At 36.5% G+C, this 19,718-nt stretch overlaps 1 protein-coding gene and 1 long non-coding RNA gene across 60 annotated transcripts in view; one reads left to right on the forward strand and one right to left on the reverse strand.

Moving 5' to 3' along the window:
• The window catches only part of LPP (LIM domain containing preferred translocation partner in lipoma), a 737,651-nt gene that overhangs the window by 443,446 nt on the left and 274,487 nt on the right, over positions 1-19,718 (forward strand). For 51 of the 59 annotated variants that reach the window (NR_164692.1, XM_047448103.1, NM_001375457.1 and 48 more), the window contains one exon: positions 12,695-13,378. Coding sequence is in view for 58 of the 59 variants with exons in the window: in XM_047448103.1 (XP_047304059.1) it covers positions 12,695-13,378 (684 nt within the window). In the remaining variant the exon portion in view is untranslated. Of the gene's footprint in view, positions 1-12,694; positions 16,477-19,718 lie in introns of those variants that run through there. The other 8 variants (NM_001387682.1, NM_001387680.1, NM_001387683.1 and 5 more) reach the window with 2 other exon arrangements.
• The window catches only part of LOC124906316 (uncharacterized), a 40,949-nt gene continuing 30,120 nt past the window's right edge, over positions 8,890-19,718 (reverse strand). The window contains exons 4-5 of the long non-coding RNA XR_007096213.1: positions 11,127-11,304; positions 8,890-9,157 (exon numbers count right to left, since the gene is read on the reverse strand). This is a non-coding gene — a long non-coding RNA (uncharacterized LOC124906316). The remainder of the gene's footprint in view (positions 9,158-11,126; positions 11,305-19,718) is intronic.

Here is a 19,718-nt window from a genome sequence, read left to right on the forward strand (position 1 = left end):
CAATCAGTGGACAGACAACTCCATTTTGAAGAACAAATACGTTAGAAGAAGAATTTTTTTCTCCTATACAATCTACAGTGTAACTGATACACATTCAAATCATCGTAATACAGTGATCATTATAAAATGAGAGTGTTTTCTGCAAAGAGGAAAAAAAAAACTGAGCAAACATCTAGTGACTTTGTTAGGAGCTTAATGTGCTCTAAATATGATGTCCTTCAAATATTTTATTTGAAATATTTGATAGGTCTTAGAAAATTTTGCTCATGGAATTCTCTGAGAACTGTAACACACCACCTATTCCTTTTTCGCTTTGCTTTCGGTCACCCAAATTTTTTTAGAAATATGTGAACGAGGGTCTGTTTGTTTCCACTGAAGCAAATATAGCCACTTGCTCACACTGGTGGCTTCTTTTACTGAAGTCCGTGAATATGTTAGAAACTCTTGTATGAAAATACAGCAACCCAATTTGTCCCTATTGAGCCTACTTTGTGATTTCCATGCCCTGCTGCCTGGTGTGTATACACTGAGATCCACTTTGTTAAAGAACAAAACTGGGTTTGTTACTTTTTTGTAGGCTTATTATTAAGTCTGAGCATTCTGGTGTGAGGTTAGGAACGCTGGTTTCAGACTCTGGAAAACAGAGTTCTAATCCTGACCCTCTGAAGACCTTCTCACTTTGGGCAAATCTTTCCTGAGCCTTGTTTCCTTGAGGAAAATGTAGAGATGTGTGATATTCACATTTCTTACGCCCTACAGTTATGTGAGGAATACTGTATGTTTCAGTTATGCACAGATAAATTAGTTATTTCTTCTCAAAGAATCCTCTGTTAAAAATTATTCCCCAAATAGCTCTTTTTCGACACTTGTCTCAAGGTGGTCACATTTTAATTTCTGCCACTGATACACAAATTTCAGTGATAAGAAACCCCTGAATGACTTGAGAGTTTCCTGAGAGATGGGATCCCACCTATTTTATTATCTTTTGTCTTTTTATGGCTTCCGAGTAGCAGTAAAAGATAGGAATGGTTGGTTCTATTACAGTAGTTGATTATAACCAAAAACTAGTGAACCACACTCTCCAAATGTCCTGCTACCTACAGCTAAGAAACCCAATGTTTATAAACTAACTCAGAACTTTTAAAATTAGATTGAACTACAGAACCCTCTATCATACTTAAATCTTCTTAGATGAATGGTGCACAAAACTGATGGGGGATGGGAAGTGTGGGCAATTCTGTTACCGAACTATTTCCCTTATTGTTTCATTTGATTAAACACTTCTCTCTTGTATGGAATTTGCCAATAATACATTATTGAAAAAACTGATTTCAATAATATGTTATTGAAAAAACTAATTTATTGAATAAAAACATATGGAAAAATCTCTTTGCTAGACCCTAAGGATGGAAAGCCCAAATTTCTACCCACATGGAGTTTAGAGAGGAAAGGAACACTAAATAAGTAATTGCAAAACAAGACGTAAGGGTTATCATAAGGATAATGCAAACTATTAAAGAGACATTAATGGTGGGCACCTTGTCTAATTTTGGAGGTTCCAGATTGGCTTCCTAAAGGAGGCATCATTTCGTTTGAAATCTGAAGGATGAATAACCAGTTAGAAGTTGCGAGATGGAAGCAGGTTGGAAAGTGTTCAAATCAGGGCAACCACAGGATAGCTGGAGTGTTGACTCCTGTGTAGAGGAAAGTAAGAGAGGAGGCTAAGAAGATAAACAGTAGTTCTATCAGGAAAGAATTTGGACTTCATGGTAAGAGCAATGAGAACTCTTGAGAGATTTTAATACAGGAAGGCAATGATCATATTTGAGTTCTTAAAATTTGATTTTAGAATAGAGTACGTACTAGAGGACAATAAGCAGTCAGTTTCTTTAAAAATACACATATACGTGTGTATGTGTTTGTTGCAGTAAGCTAGGTCACTAATCATAGTGGACTGGACTAGGGCACCAATAAGTTAATAGAAGTAGAAACATTGACGGTAACTAGTAGAGAGAATTAACAAGCTTTACTGCATCAAGAGGAGAAAAAAAATTGTGATCACGTTTATAACATATAATCACATTGCTAAAATCTTTAAAATATCTGTTAACCTTGAAACATAACTGATTTATATAGTTTTTGTCAATATACATATGAACCATTATCTTACTTTTCTTTTAAACTGGTATTTCGAATTAATGTTTTCTGGCTTTCCAGCTGCATACCATTCCATTAGCTCAATGTTCTAGGATTTTCTCAACCATCCTCTGATTTTTCCTTTAATATAAACAAGTAAAATCACTTATGTGCGTTTTAATAGCTCTTCATTGCAAGTTTGTCCACCAAAAGAATCATTTCAATTTTCAGTGCTACCAGTCATATAAAAACGCACCTGTAATATTCCCACTGGGATTGAGTTTTATTATTTCTTGCCTAATTGGTTGAACTCACAGTATTTTTCACTAAACCCCTGGCCTGATTGGAGAAAAGTGTCTGGTCCCTTGAGGAGATGCTTCAGCAAACGAGGTCGCTTGTTATGGAAATAGGCTCTTCTCTCACTACATTTCTAGATGATAGAACACACTCAGATTGATTTCACCTTCATCACAATGGCATTTTATCCAGTGCTGGACACATGCATGCTAAGAACTGAGTGTACTGTATGGGTATTTATAATACCCATATTCATTCTAGGAAATAATTATACATGGCTGGGTATTTACATAAACAGGAGCCTTGGAGACCTCTCAAGTTCAAAACCGATGGCATTCTATCTCATTTGAAAGTCACTGGGGTGGGAGAGGACACTCCTTAAAATATTGGATTTCTTAGTTTTAATCTGATGATATGCTAGCTTTATGAAGATGTGAGTGCAGGCCCTCACCTGGATCGTTGCTTCTCTTTTTAATAGGAACTAGAAAATGAAGATTTTCAAGGTAGCATCTGGGTGCTCCTAATTGACTTGATTTTATGTTTGAGAAAACTACCTTGACATACCAACATTGGGGTCTCTAGAAGTCCAGGGAGATGTTTTTCTTCACAGTGTCATATACCCTATCATAAGTGTTGTGAGGATTAAATGGAAAAGCTTCTGGGACAAAAACTGCTCTGAAGTGCCACACCAGACTATACTGTTTTAACTATTTCTGGCTCTGAAGCTATTAAGAATAACCCGTCACTAGCAGAGCACAAGGCTGTGAAATGAATAAGTGCTGATACATTTCAAAGAAGTAAGATATTTATGTGTGCATCTCTCTGGCAAAAACTATCGGGGACTCGTTAGGGGTGTGTGTGTGTGTGTGTGTGTGTGTGTGTGTGTGTGTGGTGTGTGCTTTATGTGTTCATTGAGGACTAAAAATTAGTATTAGTAGTATATTGGCAGCAATGTTTTGAACTCGGTGGCACCAACTAAAATTGTGTGATTTTTATTTCGTGCATAATATTTGAGATTATTTTAACTCATCACCAGATTTCAGCTACTATTTATCCTCATTTATAAGGTTACTTTTTTTCTTTAATGTGGAAAATAAACAAAAACATAAAATGGAGAACAAAATTTTCTCTTAACTGCCTCACCTAGTGTAAAACTGTAACCTTTTAAAATACATTGAAACCATTTTTAATTTTCTGCTATGCTTCTTCCTTTTTTTGTATGTACATACACATGGACATTGGAATACCACAATATTTTAGAGTGTGTTTGCTTGGTTTTTAAAATAATGTATATATTTCTGATATATATTATGTTAAATATATATTTATTTTTATACATTTATATATAAGAAATGTATAATATATACTATGCCTATATAATATATATTTCTTCCTTTGAGTGAAAAAGTAATATGTGGTAGACACTTAGCAAAATAGGAAAAGTATATAGAATAGCCAAAAATAACCCCTTTAAAATAACCAATGTTATCAGTTGGGAATAGATCCTTCTAGCCATATATGTATGCATATGTATATATGAGATATAGATAGATGCATTACTTATCAACAGGTATAAAACAATATTTTCTAACTGAATTTTAAAACAAAGAAAAATTTTGATACATATTATTATTTTTATTATATAGTGGTAAAATATACATAATACAGAATTTCACATTCTAACCAATTTTAAGCGTATAATTCACTGGCACTAAGTACATTTACATTGTTGTGCAACCATCACCAGCAGAACTGTATCTATTCAAACTGAAATGACATATCCATTAAACAATAATGCACTAGCTACATTCTTCCTTCTCCCATCCCATGGCAATCACCATTCTGCTTTCTAGCTTTATAAATTTGACTCTTCTAGGGGCCTCCTATATGTAGAACCATATGGTATTTGTTTTTTGTTTTTTGTTTTTGTAACTGGCTTGTTTCTTCAAGCTTCAAGCTTAATCTCTTCAAGCTTCATCTATGTTGTAGCATGTATCAGAATTTTCTTATTACATTGTGTGTGTGTATATATATGTATAGATATATAGATAGATATAGATGTGTGTGTGTATATATATATATCACATTTTATTTATCCATTCATCCATCAGTGGACACTTGAATTGCTTCTTCCTTTGGCTATTGTGAATAATACTGCTATGAACATATTACCATGATTGTACAAATAGCTGCATTCCTGCTTTTAGTTATTTTAGGTATCTACCCAGAAGTTGAATTGCCAGATTATTGATATATTTTGAAATATTTTTATGGCATTGTTTTAATGACTGTGTAGTATTCTATTATATGACTATACTGTAATGTATATAAACAATCCTCATGTATTGATTATTTAAATTTTCCATTATCTTTTAGTTTTATAAAGTACACTATTAACACGGAGCTTCTTGAAACTAAACATTTATGCTCTCTGGTCATTTCCATAGGCTAAATTTTAAGAAATGAAACTATGGGTTTAAAAAGTATAAACTTTATTAGGGCTTTTGTTACATATCACCAAATTACACCACTGATTTCCCATAAAAATTTTATAGAAACAAACATTAACTTCGTCCCTAAATCTAAATTATATAATCAGTTTTCCTTCTAAGACAAGTGGAGTCACACCATTATGTCACTCATAGCCCCTAATTCCAAGTGGGATTTCCTGTTCGGCTTTAGCAACAGTATCTAAAAGTAGTTTTGAACTCTGGTTTTAACTGACAATCACCTGCCCCTTCCCTTTTGAATTTCCAGATTTCACTCTGTTGAGTGGGTTTATCTACAATAACTTGCATTTAAAAAGCCCTAAATGATTCTGTTGTGCAGTCAGATTTAAGAAATGCTTTTCTAAATGTGTGGTATTATGTTTATATATCGCACTCTTGGCCAGGTGTGGTGGCTCACGCCTGTAATCCCAACATTTTGGGAGGCCAAGGCAGATGGATCACTTGAGGTCAGGAGTTCCAGACCAGCCTGGACAACACAGTGAAAACCCCATCTTTACTAAAAACACAAAATGAGCTGGCGTGGTGGTGGGTGCCTATAATCCCAGCTATTTGAGAGGCTTTGACACAAGAATTCCTTGAACACGCGAGGCAGAGGTTGCAGTGAGCTGAGATAGTGCCACTGCACTCCAGCCTGGGTGACAGAGCAAGACTCTATCTCAAATATATATATATATATATATACACACACATATACATATACACACACACACATATATATAGCATTCTTAATCTCATATATATATAATATATATATAATATATATATATTATATATATATATGACATTCTTAATCTGTTAGGTTGTTTTCCAACTCATGGGGTCATCTATCAAGTGGATAGTGTAAGTGGCCTGGTTGGATGAGGAATGGAGATATGGGTACTTACCCTGAATTATGGAAGATAATTAGTGAGATGACTCAAGAAAGCAAATTTAGTTATTCTTCTAGTCATGGTTAGGATAAAATGATGATGTAATTTTTGCATAGAGCCAAAAGAAGCAGCAAATTAGGGATTTCATTATAACTGAAATAGGTTAGCTGTGTTTCCATTTTTGCTCATTGTACAAACTCAGAAACCAATTATATTTATTTATCCAGCCATTATTTATTAAGTGCCTACCTGATATGAATCCCTAATAATGAGACCAAGCTCTTCTTGGGCAATAAAACTCTGAATATTGCACATTTACTCTTGGAATCACTGGATTTTTGAGAGTCAGAGTATCTTCTTTTATAGGTACCTCGACCCCAGTGAAGCTCTTTTTTTTTCTCCTGAGTGATATAGAAATATTTTTTTATTTGAAGAGAAAGATTATTTATTAAAAAAAAAAAAAGGAGAAGAGTAACTTAGCATTTCCCCTCCTTTGTTGTTCAGATGAAGAGTCAGTCTAGAGAAGTCACGTGACTTTCCCAATGTCACTAAATTCTAAACAGTGGTAAAGCTGGCACTTTTTTTCTCGGTCTCCCAAGTTCCAGTGCACAACTCTTCAATTGCATGCTTCCTAGTGATACTTACATTTGCCAGTATCCATAACTTCAACTGGGAATTGTAAAGTGCACCTCATGCACTACAGGTGACCTGCAGAAATTGTTTTATTTCTCTTCCTTGTGTTTGAAATAATAATAATAATAATAATAATAATAATAATAATAATAATGAACACAGCTTTAAAGTCAGAAGAGTAATATTGGATTTATATTCCACATGTCAGCAGTGAGCTGGCATGGGATAGCAGCTGCCTTTTTAACAGAGTAAACTCTTCAGCTTTATAGTTCACATCACTTTGTTGTTTCCTAGACACTGGCATTCTCATTTTCTGTTCATTCTCCAATTTATTCAATTTTTCTTCTAGGAGAGAGAAAGATTTTCCAGTGTCTACATTTTGATCACTTATCTCTTAAAAATAGGAAAACTACGGATAGACTGATAAAGAATTTTGTGGTTTTTTTTTTTTTAACATGTCAACTATTATATTTCACTGTTTTATTACCTGAGAGAGGTGGATGGTTTTTAAAACCCCAAACTATGCAGCCAGATGACCCAGGCTTGAACCTTCGATCTGCCACCTACTAGTGATGTGTCCTTGGGCAGTTACTTAATCTCTCGTCAATATCTTCTTCTGGAAAATGAGGATTGGTTTCCGTCTCAGGAGTAACTGTGAGGATTATATATAAATTATGTTCAACACAAAATGTTTGCACCAGGTAATTTCTATATAAATGTTTGCTATTATTACACATTTTTGGGGTTACCAATAGGTATTTTAGCTTGTGTTTTCTGCCACAGGGATGTCCAGACAAAGTAGATAACTGAAAGTGAAAAGCACTTGAGGTATTCTTCAAATAACTCAAATAATTGTCATGAAAATATAATTGAAATGGAAATATTCATCATCTTAATCTTCTAGCAAGTCAACCATCCCCCTTTTGATATTTTGTATATTCCTTGGCCATATGAAAATATCATTCTCTATGGCCTCAATTGTATTGTACAAATGAATTCACATCATGTGTTTTTCATTTAAAATTTACATTTAAATCTTAAGCAGTTTCCCATGTCATGTAGCTGAAATTAAAATGTAATAAAATGATTTTGAATTTCGTGCTGCTGTTTAAACGTTGACCTTTTGCTACTGTCTATTTTCTCCTTCTGTTACATTGGAAAATTTTCTAAGTAGAAATCACTTTTACTCATCACACTAAATTTTGCCCCAAATATTCTGTAACTAAGAACTTTCTGAGTGCAATGAGTGTGACTTTCTTTGTCTCATAGTGAATCTAGTAAGCAGCTCAATGCCTGTTACATAGTAGACTTTCAATAAATTTCTATTGAATAAATAATTTGGATTGAATTTCTGGGATTTGTGGTATTGTGTTTACTTGGCAGTAAATTCAGAATGTACTTTGTTTTAGTACATGTTGTTAAATACTATTTTTAAATGCATTCGTCTCTTTCCTTTCTTAGTAAGTTTATTTAAAAATTGCCCTTTATTTCCAGAGGGGATTTGAGTCAGCATCAAGTAAAACTTACACATATAGTATGGCCATAAAAATGAAAACAAGTACCTCAAAGTCTTCCTGGAAAAATAATAGTATCAATACATTCCAAATTAAAATCATTAAACTATTTAGAGGTGGAGGGGCACTAATGAGATGACTGTAATTAGGCACACATTACATATTTTACAGAATTTCTTGATTGTCAAGTCAATAAGGAAAATAAGATAGTTCATATTTTTTCATGGTCAGTTATAATCTGACCAAAGAAATGCATTTTTCTTGGGATATTAACCTTCATTCATTCATCAAATATTTGTTAAATGCCAGCTTATGGGCTATGATATGATGAAGCATAATGAGGAAGCAGCAGGGAATAAAAAGGACAGTCTCTACTAGTATAGAAGCAGACATATGCACATGTGATATGTACAGGGAGGGAGAAGTAAAGAGCACCCACTGTGCTGGAGGATTCAGGCAAAGTTTCACGGAGGAACCTGACATTCAGCTTGAGATGTAAGACATTCCTAGGAATCAGCTAGATAATTCAAAGACAATGGAGAAGTGCATTGGTGTAGGTATCATTGTTGAGATGTGAGAGAGCTTGGCACAATAGACATGAAAGAAGGTCAATGTATCTCAAAGAGAGGTAGAAGAGGTGGATTTGCATCCATCATTCCCCTAACCTGTTGAAGATTTTTGAGCAGGAAAGCAATATGATTAGATTTGCATTTGCAATAAATCACTCTGGCTACCAAATGAAGGACTCATTGAAAAACAGTCGTGGACATTGGGAGACCAGTTTGGATGTTTTTAGAGAATTCATAATGAAAAATGGTGGAATCTTGGCATGGGATTGTAGTAGTGGAAATGGTAAAATGTGGACATATTTGTGAGTTATGGAATTCCCTATTTAGAGAGTAGGAGCAACAGGATTTAGTTCTTGAATGGAAAGTAGGCAGTCTCAGAAATGATTCCCAGTGTTCTCCTTTGAGCAACAACTGGGTGGATGAGAAAACCAAATGAAAAGCAGATCAGGGTGGATGATGAAATCTGTTTTTAATATATTGAGTCTGAAAAGCATATGAGACATTCAAGCAGACACATGAAATAGACAGTTGAGGATTTGGGCTTAGTATTCAGAATACAGATGAATTCTGGAGACAGAAATTCTAAAGTCTTCATAACATAGAAGGTATATCAAGTTGTGGCCATGGTCCTGGAGACAATCGAGAGACAAAAGCAGAGATCTGGTGTCAAATAAAGGGAATCATTATTCAGCGGCTATTGAGCAATATATTGGGTATTGTCATTAGTAACAATTTCACAGAAAGATTTAAGAAGCATTTTATTTTTCGTAAGATAATATTCCATTTGATGCAGATAGATAGCTTTCTGGTAAACTAGGTTGATCCAGAGATAAAGATTAAAAAATTCCCAGGGACATTTGGTTAACATTTTACTTCCAATGGTTCTCAACTAGAGAGGAAACCACCTCCTGATGGGGAGTTTGGAAATGAATGGGCACATTTTTATAAACTGTCACAATGACTGGAGGACACTGTTATCATTTATCGGGTAGGGAGCAAAATACATTACTGTCAAACTCAAGAAGACCATAGTACTCTGTTGAGAGACACTGATAAACTCTTGTGCCACATATGTTTCTCTGGCTTGCTGATTGTGAAGTTCCGAGCTGACTGTCAAGAACGGTCACAGACCTTCTCTAGATTTTCACCTCCACAGTACTCTCTTTGTCCTGAACCTAGAGGAGATGACGGCTCTGCCTCTGCTAGTTCCATATTATTTCCCTGTCCTTCGTGACTCCTCTGCAATTACATGGGGCCATGTACATAATACCTGTGTAAATCAGATCCTTGAGAAGACCTAGTTGGTGTGTGCTGTCATTTTTATTTGAATCCTGACTCTTATGGCTATCTTTTCCACATATCATTTGTCTCAAATATAGTTTCCTAGGGATCTCATAGTTCCAGATTTAGCTTCCTGTTAAGTTACAAGAAGCTCTTGGATAGAGTGGTATCTTTTTGTTTGGTTGGTTTTTGTGTTTTGTTTTGTTCTGTTTTTTTGGATATTCGTCTTTAAAAGGGTAAACTTGTCATTTACTTTTGTAATTTAAGCAGCCTGGATATTCTTGTCTTGTTGGTGGAGGGGCTTTACCTTTCTGCTTGAAGGTGGTCCCAATAGTACTAAATAGAAACATAGTTTCCTCATTAAGCAATTTATTAAAATATGTATGTTCAAGACATTCCTAAAAAATACTCAGTTAAGACTCCAACATTCTATTACAGAGGACGTGGAAAAGGCATTTTGAACCTAGAAAAAATTTAAGGTCAGATTTTTCTCGTCAATAATGCCAGTCATAAAAAAGTCAGCGTAGATGGGCATTGAATGAAAGAGGGAATAAAGCTTTGCTTTTCTTTGATGACTCAAGATCAGCAGAAACCCAGAGTTCCTATTTTGAACACTTTACAAACCCAACTATAAATGGAGACAGTGACTGAGCAACTGGGCTGATGACAGGCATGCTCTCTGCTGCAGCTGTAAAGTCTGCCCCAAGAAAGCAGTTCAAAATTTGCATAGTTTGAAATTGAAAACCAATAACATTCATTAACAAAAAAGAATATAGACCTAACTCCTTAAAAGTAACTTTTTTTTTATAAGTTTCTTCTTTCAGTCTCTTTCTTGGTGAAGACACACACACACACACACACACACACACACACACACACACACACACACACTATTTAAACATCCTGAAGTCTTTGAATTAAAGCAACAGGGCACAATTTCAGGAGCCATTGCTTTCTTCTAGGAAATACCTCACTATTAGAGCTCTCTTTGGAGATGAGAAGATTTTTCTCAACTTTATTATGAATTCCATTGTGTATGTGTGAGCACGTTTCTGAATATTTTACATATTATAACTGTATGTTTGAAAATAGAAGATATATATATATATATATATATATATATATATATATATATATATATAATTTTTTTTTCCTTTGCAGTTTTACGTGCCTTACATCACGGGAGCTGGAAGGGGTAGAGAATAGGAATAATTTTAAAGCATATTTATTTATGTTCTTCATGGTTAAAGAAAACTATGCCAACATTCTTCTGGCCCACATATTCAATTAAATACATAGTGAATCTTTTCTACTTACTGGATTATTTGGTGCTTCCAAGCATTTATTTTTGGCATTTCATTTCGTTTTTGTTTTTGCAGGAATTTTTGAAGTTTTATTATGATTTAACATTTTTATTTTGAAAATCGAGCACATTTTAAAAATTACTCTGCTGTAGCTGTAGTCTGCCCCCAAAAACAGATACTTCAAAATTCACCTATTTTGAAAATAAAAATGCAGGTATAGAAATTTACATATACAGATTACTTATTTATCTATGATTTGTTATGTGTATATAAATCTATTTATACAATCATCTATAAATACAGATATGCAAATATGTTATTTTTTGAGACTTAAATGTCTGTAGCAATCCTTTTTTTATGTGGTATTTTTCCATTAGTCATTTTCTAAGCCTCTTCAACATGTAAAGCTCTGTGAGGTTAATGGGGGGAGAGTGGTGTCCTAGGATGATGAATAGTGTGTCTCTCCCTGTCCCCCAGTCTGGTAGAGAAGCTGTGCACAATAGATTAGACCAAATAGATTTCTACATTTTCAATCAGAATTAGCTGTGGCCAGGAGATAAGAACAGACAAGGTGCACCCCTGTGTGTCTGCCTTCTCTCTTGGAGCAGGCCCTCCACTTCCCCTTTTGTTTAAGTTCAGATAACATGTTACATTGTTTATGTCACTATTCTTCATGACCAATTGTCACAAAACTTTTCCTCTATGTTACTTCTTTTAGAAGTTTTAGTTTCAGGCCTTTCTCATCTTTAAATCATTAACCCAGTTTTAGTTAATGATGTCAGATAAGGGTCCAATATCATTCTTTTGTATGTGTATTTCTAGTTTCCCTAACATCATCTATTGAAGAAATTTTCTTTACCTATCATCTATTCTTTGCCCCCTCATCAAAAATCAATTGACTGTATACACGTGGATATATTTCCGGGCTCTCTGTTCTGTTGGTCTGTATATCTTGTTTTTCATGCCAGTACCATACTGTTTTGATTACTGTAGCTTTGTAATATATTTTGAAATTAGGAATTGTAATGCCTCCGGCTTTGTTCTTGGCTTCAAGATTGATAAGGCTTTTTGTGGTCTTTTGTGGTTCCATGTGAGTTTTAGAATTGTTTTTTCTATGTATGTAAAACTTCATTTTGGTATTTAGATAGGGATCTCACTGCATCTATAGATAACTTTGGGTAGGATATACATTCTAACAATATCAAGTCTTTCAACCTATGAACACAGATGTTTATCCGTTTGTTTGTGTCTTGTATAATTTCTTTCACCGATGTTTAATAGTTTTCAGTATATAATCTTTCTCCTCCTTAGATAACTTTTTTCCAAGTTTTTTATGCTACTGTAAGTAGAATTTTTTCCTTTCTTTCCTTTTCTGCTATTCGTCGGCAGTGCACAGATATACAACTGATTTTTGTGTTCATCTGTGAACACTTTGAAGGCAAGATTATGCCTTATTTGTGTTCTACATAGTAATAAATAATAATTAGCAGTTATTAATATTTTTCATTTATTCATTTTTATTGAGTTTCGTTGGCAGTAATTTTTGCTTTCTTTCTTTCTTTTTTTTCCTATTCTTTTTAGAGCTCCACTGGTTCAACAGCCTCTCCTCCAGTTTCGACCCCAGTCACAGGACACAAGAGAATGGTCATCCCGAACCAACCCCCTCTAACAGCAACCAAGAAGTCTACATTGAAACCACAGCCTGCACCCCAGGCTGGACCCATCCCTGTGGCTCCAATCGGAACACTCAAACCCCAGCCTCAGCCAGTCCCAGCCTCCTACACCACGGCCTCCACTTCTTCAAGGCCTACCTTTAATGTGCAGGTGAAGTCAGCCCAGCCCAGCCCTCATTATATGGCTGCCCCTTCATCAGGACAAATTTATGGCTCAGGGCCCCAGGGCTATAACACTCAGCCAGTTCCTGTCTCTGGGCAGTGTCCACCTCCTTCAACACGGGGAGGCATGGATTATGCCTACATTCCACCACCAGGACTTCAGCCGGAGCCTGGGTATGGGTATGCCCCCAACCAGGGACGCTATTATGAAGGCTACTATGCAGCAGGGCCAGGCTATGGGGGCAGAAATGACTCTGACCCTACCTATGGTCAACAAGGTCACCCAAATACCTGGAAACGGGAACCAGGGTACACTCCTCCTGGAGCAGGGAACCAGAACCCTCCTGGGATGTATCCAGTCACTGGTCCCAAGAAGACCTATATCACAGATCCTGTTTCAGCCCCCTGTGCGCCACCATTGCAGCCAAAGGTAAGAAACTCAGTAACATAAGGAGGAGAATACAGGGGTGCCTATCTTAGTCTGCCTTCCCCAGGAAGCGAAGCCTAAGGCAAAAGTGTGTGTGTTACTTTTATTTCACTGACAAATACAATCCCAGGGAAGGATGAGTGAAGCCAGAGAGGAGAGAGAGACTACTTAGTATGTTACTAATATGGCCACTGTTTAGTATCAAATGGAATTGCTTGCTCAATCTCAGAGAATCATCTTCCAAAGCCCACAGACACCATAGCATCTGAGGACAAAGTGTTCTGATGGAGAAAGAGAAAATAATTTATTTTTCACATCCTTCCCTATATTGGTTAAAGCTTCCCTCTGTTGTGCAGAAACTTCCTCTACACCTTGCATTTGCTTGGACATTAAACAGGTCTGTAGTATCTCAAGCCTCAGCAAGGGTAGTGATCTATGGGTGAGACATGTGGAGGGCAAAACTGAGTGAACTGCTGTCAGGCTGTGGCCCTGTGAAGGCGATTATAACTCCCGCAATGTTGGTACCACAGCGGTTGCTGGGCCAGAACAAGTGGCCAAGGACCCAGGAAATGGGTGAGGCCAAGCAGGTCTAAGATAATGCAAATGCCTTGGACAGTTTCTCCTTTGAGAAGGGGCTGCAGTATAATGCAGCTTGTTTGTGACCCCTTGTTTATTCATTTTACTAATCCTCCAGAAAGAATCTTATTCTTCAGCCTTTAGCACTATTAAGCAATGTTTAAAAACTCCTTATGAGTGACAGTTACTTCTTATTTGATTTAATTGTCCATATGTGGACCTTTTAAGTTAACACTCTCTGTTACTTCGTCTGAATAGGTAAGGTGTAATACTACACATGCCCACTCACCACAACTTGGATTTTTCATTAGTACTGGAACCAACACGATGTTGATTCCTCCCATTATGACTAGAGGAACCAATAAGAATAACTTGGAATCGGTGAAAATAGAGGAACTGAGCCAGTTTCCAGCCACTTGGGTTGGAAGAGTGCCCTTGCTTCTTTTCAGTTAGAACTGTGAGAAATCAGAAATTTGAGAGCCCTCAATTAGCTAGAAGTTCAATGGTAGTTTTGGGGGATGGATTGGGTAGAAGTTTGGACTGTATTTTTAAAAATTCTTTCCACATTTTTACAAGATTGTCCATTTCAAGACAGATCTATTCACATATTCAACATTGTATCAAAAATTTCCTTATAGGGTATTTACTAAACTGTTTTTCTTATATGAAAGCGTCTGCCATATTAATGGTGTCCTATGTGAATTTCACATTCTATAGGGGAATAGAGCTCTTCCTGACAGTGGGGACTGTGAAGAGCTGGAGAAATCCTATAGCCTTATGTGTGACCACTATATGAAATTGGCCAGCCATGATCCCTTTCCGATAGATAGATTCCAAATTAGAATTTTAAATGATTTTAAACATGACTCAGTTTCTTAAGTCTCTCTATGAAAAGAAATGTTATTACAGTTTTTTATTTCTTTTTAAAATGAATTTGTCCATAATAGCCAATCTGGACAGCCTTGCTCTTTGTTAATGTCGCAGTATATTTGCACCAGTGCCTCCTGGCCCAGTCAAGGGGAGTCTATTTTCAAAACAACCAGTTCAGAGAAACAGATTATTCAACTTAACCACAGTTTTTGTTTTCAACAATTGCAACAGATTTACCCAGGGAAGATTACAGTAAAATAAAATTTTAGGTCAGAACAACTGCTGTCAAGGTTTAAGTTCAACTAGACAGACAATTTAGCCCTGCCCAAAACAGGGTGACTGAAAGGATGGCTGAGTGATGTTCCTGAAGGAATGACATGGTGTCTGCCTTGTTGGAGGATTGTGTTATCCCACATAGGAACCAGACATGAGAGAAAGCAAAACTATGTGTCTTGATGAGACTCACCTGGTGAGAGGTACTGAGCTAGTCTTCAGATGTTGTTTTCTCACTAAGTCACTGGGCACTCTGGCCAGCCTCTCTTCAGCATTTGGAACCCATCCATTGGTGTAGGAAAAAGAATCAGCCCCCACTGCTAGAACTGGATCTAAAGTGCTGGGTCCAGCCACATCCCTAACATTTGGCCTGTCCTCACCAACTGACACAGGGAGATGGAATGAATTTTTATAAACCACTCATCAGAAAACATGGAACTTTATTTTACTTCTTATTTGAGCAAGGTGGTTATTCAAGATGATCTATTAGATGATTACAGATTTTGGATATCAGTAGATTTCATGTTATTTTTAAAATTTTTGATATATTTGTTTTTCAACAGTTTCATGTGTTTTCACATCATATTCGGCTGTGCATTGAAAAAATGAAAATCAAACCATGTACTTTTCACTCTGATTATTAAGAGTGGTTAGAGGTTGATATTTAGCCATCTGTCCTGTCTGTGCTTTGGGAAAGGGGGAAGAGGCTGATGAAGTTATGGATAAATTCTGGGCGCGTTGTGAGGGCATTGGCTGATGAAAGGGTGGGTTCCTTCACAGTTGGCCTTTGAGCAAAACACTACTGTATTCTACTGCACCTGTGCACAGAGGACCTTATTGTCCTTATATTGACTGTTTGGCTTAATTATGTGACTACGGGCATGAGAAATGAGCTCCGAATTCTTATCCCAGTTCTTTCCTTGACATTCCTCTTCCAGTTTGAGGAAAACCTCTAGACCTCTTTATGTCATGCTTCAAACCTCAGTAAAGTAGAACACCATCTTTACTAATTAATTAATGATTGCAAAAGGCTTGGAAATTTCCAAAGGCTGAATAATTGCCAAGTGAAGACTATTCAGCTTTCCACTCGCTTTCATTTATTTTTAATTTTTTTTAGTCACTGATGGAAAACTTACCCTCATGTCTGAAAACAATTATACTTTATTACATTGAGTGCTTCTGGGGAGTTTGGCATTTAACCCATTAAGGAAAAAGTTTAAAAGATGAAATAAATAAATCTCCCTTATATTTGAGATGAGCTGCTTTAGTTTTCCTATATCAGGATAGTATAAAAAGAGGAATATGATATAGTAAAAAAGAGGAGAGACAGGATGGGGAAAAGGAGAAAGGAAAGAAAAAATGAAAAGGAAAAAATGAAGAAAGGAAAGAGGCAGAATGAGAACCTGCAAGGCTTAGGGGATCATGATTATGTTTATGTTCCCATAATGTGCTAAGCAGTGAATTTGCATGCTACAGTGGGCCATACTGTATTTCCTATACCATCTGAGCAGAGTTCCTTGAAAAATAGTGTTATAAATAAGTCTTTATAAGGTAGAAATGTTCTCTTCTCACTGGAAATCCTCTTAAAGATGCAGTGGAATCTCTTCTCTTTGCTGATTTATAAAAGCTAATGTCAGCTACATCTTGCCATGTAGTTCACAGAACTCGTGTCCTGTGCATTTTATATATCTATATCTATACCTATATCTATATCTATATCTATATCTATATCTATATCTATATCTATATCTATATATATCGCTGTGAGTTGGGAGCCACGTTTTCTCCAGTATTTAGATAAGGTGGCTCAGCTTGAAAGTTCCAGTGCTAGGACCTGGAAGCTAGTCACAACTCTCAAGTCTAAAGTGACCAGGCAACTTTAGCCTCCAATTATCATAAAAACTCATCTCCGTCAGCCTCAGCTATTAAAGGGACAGGTATTTGCTACATAATGTGTAGAAGTGCTGGGGCTGTGCATTCCAGGGAAGTTGGAGAATCTTGTCCCAATTAGTGTAGAGGTTATGTTAAATTCTGAAACCATCTACTATTAAAATTTTCTTGGAAAATATTTCAGGAAGATGAGACCTTGGAGGTCAACTAACCATCTTTCAGTAAATCTAAAAGTTTTTCTTTTCCAGAATTAGAACAGATTGTTGCTTTTCATTTGGATTTCGAGTTTGGGGCATATTTTATGGGTCAGAGAAGAGTGTAGAGGTAATGAACTGTTGTGGTCAGTGTTGAAGGACTTTAAGATCTGTAATTTCTGTTAAGATTAAGGAAACAGAGAATGTTCATACACTACCACTTTGAACATTCCAGTAGTATGAGAATATTTAAATTAATTTTATTTATTTATTTATTTATTTATTTATTTATTTATTTTTTGAGAGGGAGTCCCATTCTGTCACCCAGGCTGGGGTGCAATGACGTGATCTCGGCTCACTGCAACCTCCACCTCCCGGGTTCAAGTGATTCTCCTGCCTCAGCCTACCAAGTAGCTGGGATTACAGGCTCCCGCCACCACGCCTGGCTAACTTTTTATATTTTTAGTAGAGACAGGGTTTCACCATGTTGGCCAGGCTGGTCTCAAACTCCTGACCTCACGTAATCTACCCATCTCGACCTCCCAAAGTGCTGGGATTACAGGTGTGATCCCACCATGCCCAGCCTGTTTTAATTTTTGAAAAGAGAAAGTTATATACATTGATTGCACTCTAAAGAATTGTTGGCATTTGGAGAGAGTTATCCGTATGGTAATCCCTGTGTTAATTATGTCTCAATTCTAGGATCAGAGAAACAAAATGGAAGAGATGATTAGGGTGGGCAGAGGAATGAATGCAGATAGATCCCTCAAGTCAGTAGCTAACACTAGAATACATGTGAAGATGAGAATGGTAGATATTGCTTGAGGCCAGTGACTGTAATATTAGTAATTCCTCTTTGTACAGACTTTTTAGTTTCCAAAGCACTTTGTGGAGCTCACAAAATCCATGATCATTAAGCCCAAGTAGAGGTCTTTGTCTTTCTTTTTCTGATGAGGGTTCAAAAGCCCAGTGATGAGAGCCACTCACTTAACGTCATATGTCAAATTCATCGGACAGCCACAGCTCCAAGTCAGGTCTTCTAAAGATTGTTCCCATGCTTTGACCGTGGCAAGTGACTGAATGTTGGCATGCTTTGGATGGCAGGAGCTCCTCATCAGCGCCAGTGTACATGGCTCCACTGTGACCCATGTTACCTGCAGAGATTAAAGTGGGCTTAGGCAGTCACCATGGCCTTTGGATAAAATCAGCGGTTGGAGGGGAAGCACCCATTAAATCCCTGCCTGGCACCCAGGCCTGGTGCCTTAGAGCTATACTTCCCCATCCCCATCAGTCACATAAAATTTGTCCCGAGGTTCTTTCTACCTTCACTAAGTACTTAATATGGAGTTCAGTCATCCCCATTTCTCACTTGAACCATTGAAATGGCCTCTTACTTAGGGTTTCCTCTGGCAGTCATCTCTGTACCCATACATCCTACATGTAATACCAGATTAATCTTTCTATGGTACCTTATCATTAATTGCCTTTTGCAAAAACCTTAATAAGTTCCCAACCAGTTGCAGAATACATTGAAATCCCAAACTGGATTTCTAGTTTTATCTCTCCCCAGTATCCTGGATTCCAGCTGATATGTTACATTTTTAGTTAATTCTCACCTCTATGGCTTTGCTCACCAAGTTCCTTCTTCCCAGTCCTTCCCCAAATAAAATCTACACATCTAAAAGTGACCCATTAAGATCCAGCTACAGTGTTAATTTCTCCCATAAGGTTTTCTCCTCTTCCTAAAAGCTAGTTGTGTGTTATTTCACCCTCTCTTTTAGATGTTTTCACTCTTTTACTGTACTGGAGTCATTTGTGTTCCTGTCTTCTATCAACCTATATCCAAGCATATATTAGACTAAGTTTTAGGAGAATATCCTATGTTTCTAGAAACATATGTATGTAGTAACTATATGCTTAGTTATTTAGCAGAGGTTTATTGAACATTGTGTTCACTTTGAAGAATTTTGGTAGACACTCTGTAGGGCCCTATTAGTGTTTAAGACATTGTACAGCTCAGGTGCATTTTCCTTTAAGGATGCATTTAACCTGCTAGATGTCATCTCATTTTTAAGACCAGAGAAAAAGAGAGCAGCATCTGTTGTTTCTTGACTTTTTAATAATAGCCATTCTGACTGGTGTGAGAGATGGTATCTCATTGTTGTTTTGATTTGCATTCCTCTAATGATCAGTGATGTTGAACTTTTTTTCATATGTTTGTTGACCGCATAAATGTCTTATTTTGGGAGGTGGCTGCTCATACCCTTTGTCCACTTTTTGATGAGGTTGTTTGTTTTTCTCTTGTAAATTTGTTTAAGTTCCTTGTATATTCTCGATATTAGACCTGTGTCAGATGGGTAGATTGCAAAAATTTTCTCCCATTCTGTAGGTTGCCTATTCACTCTGATGATAGTTTCTTTTGCAAAAGCTCTTTAGTTTAGTTACATCCCATTTGTCAATTTTGGCTTTTGTTGCAATTGCTTTTGGCGTTTTCATCATGAAGCCGTTGCCCATGCCTGTGTCCTGAATGGTACTGCCTA

Source organism: Homo sapiens, chromosome 3 (assembly GCF_000001405.40).
Source record: "Homo sapiens chromosome 3, GRCh38.p14 Primary Assembly".
Lineage (NCBI taxonomy): Eukaryota > Metazoa > Chordata > Mammalia > Primates > Hominidae > Homo > Homo sapiens.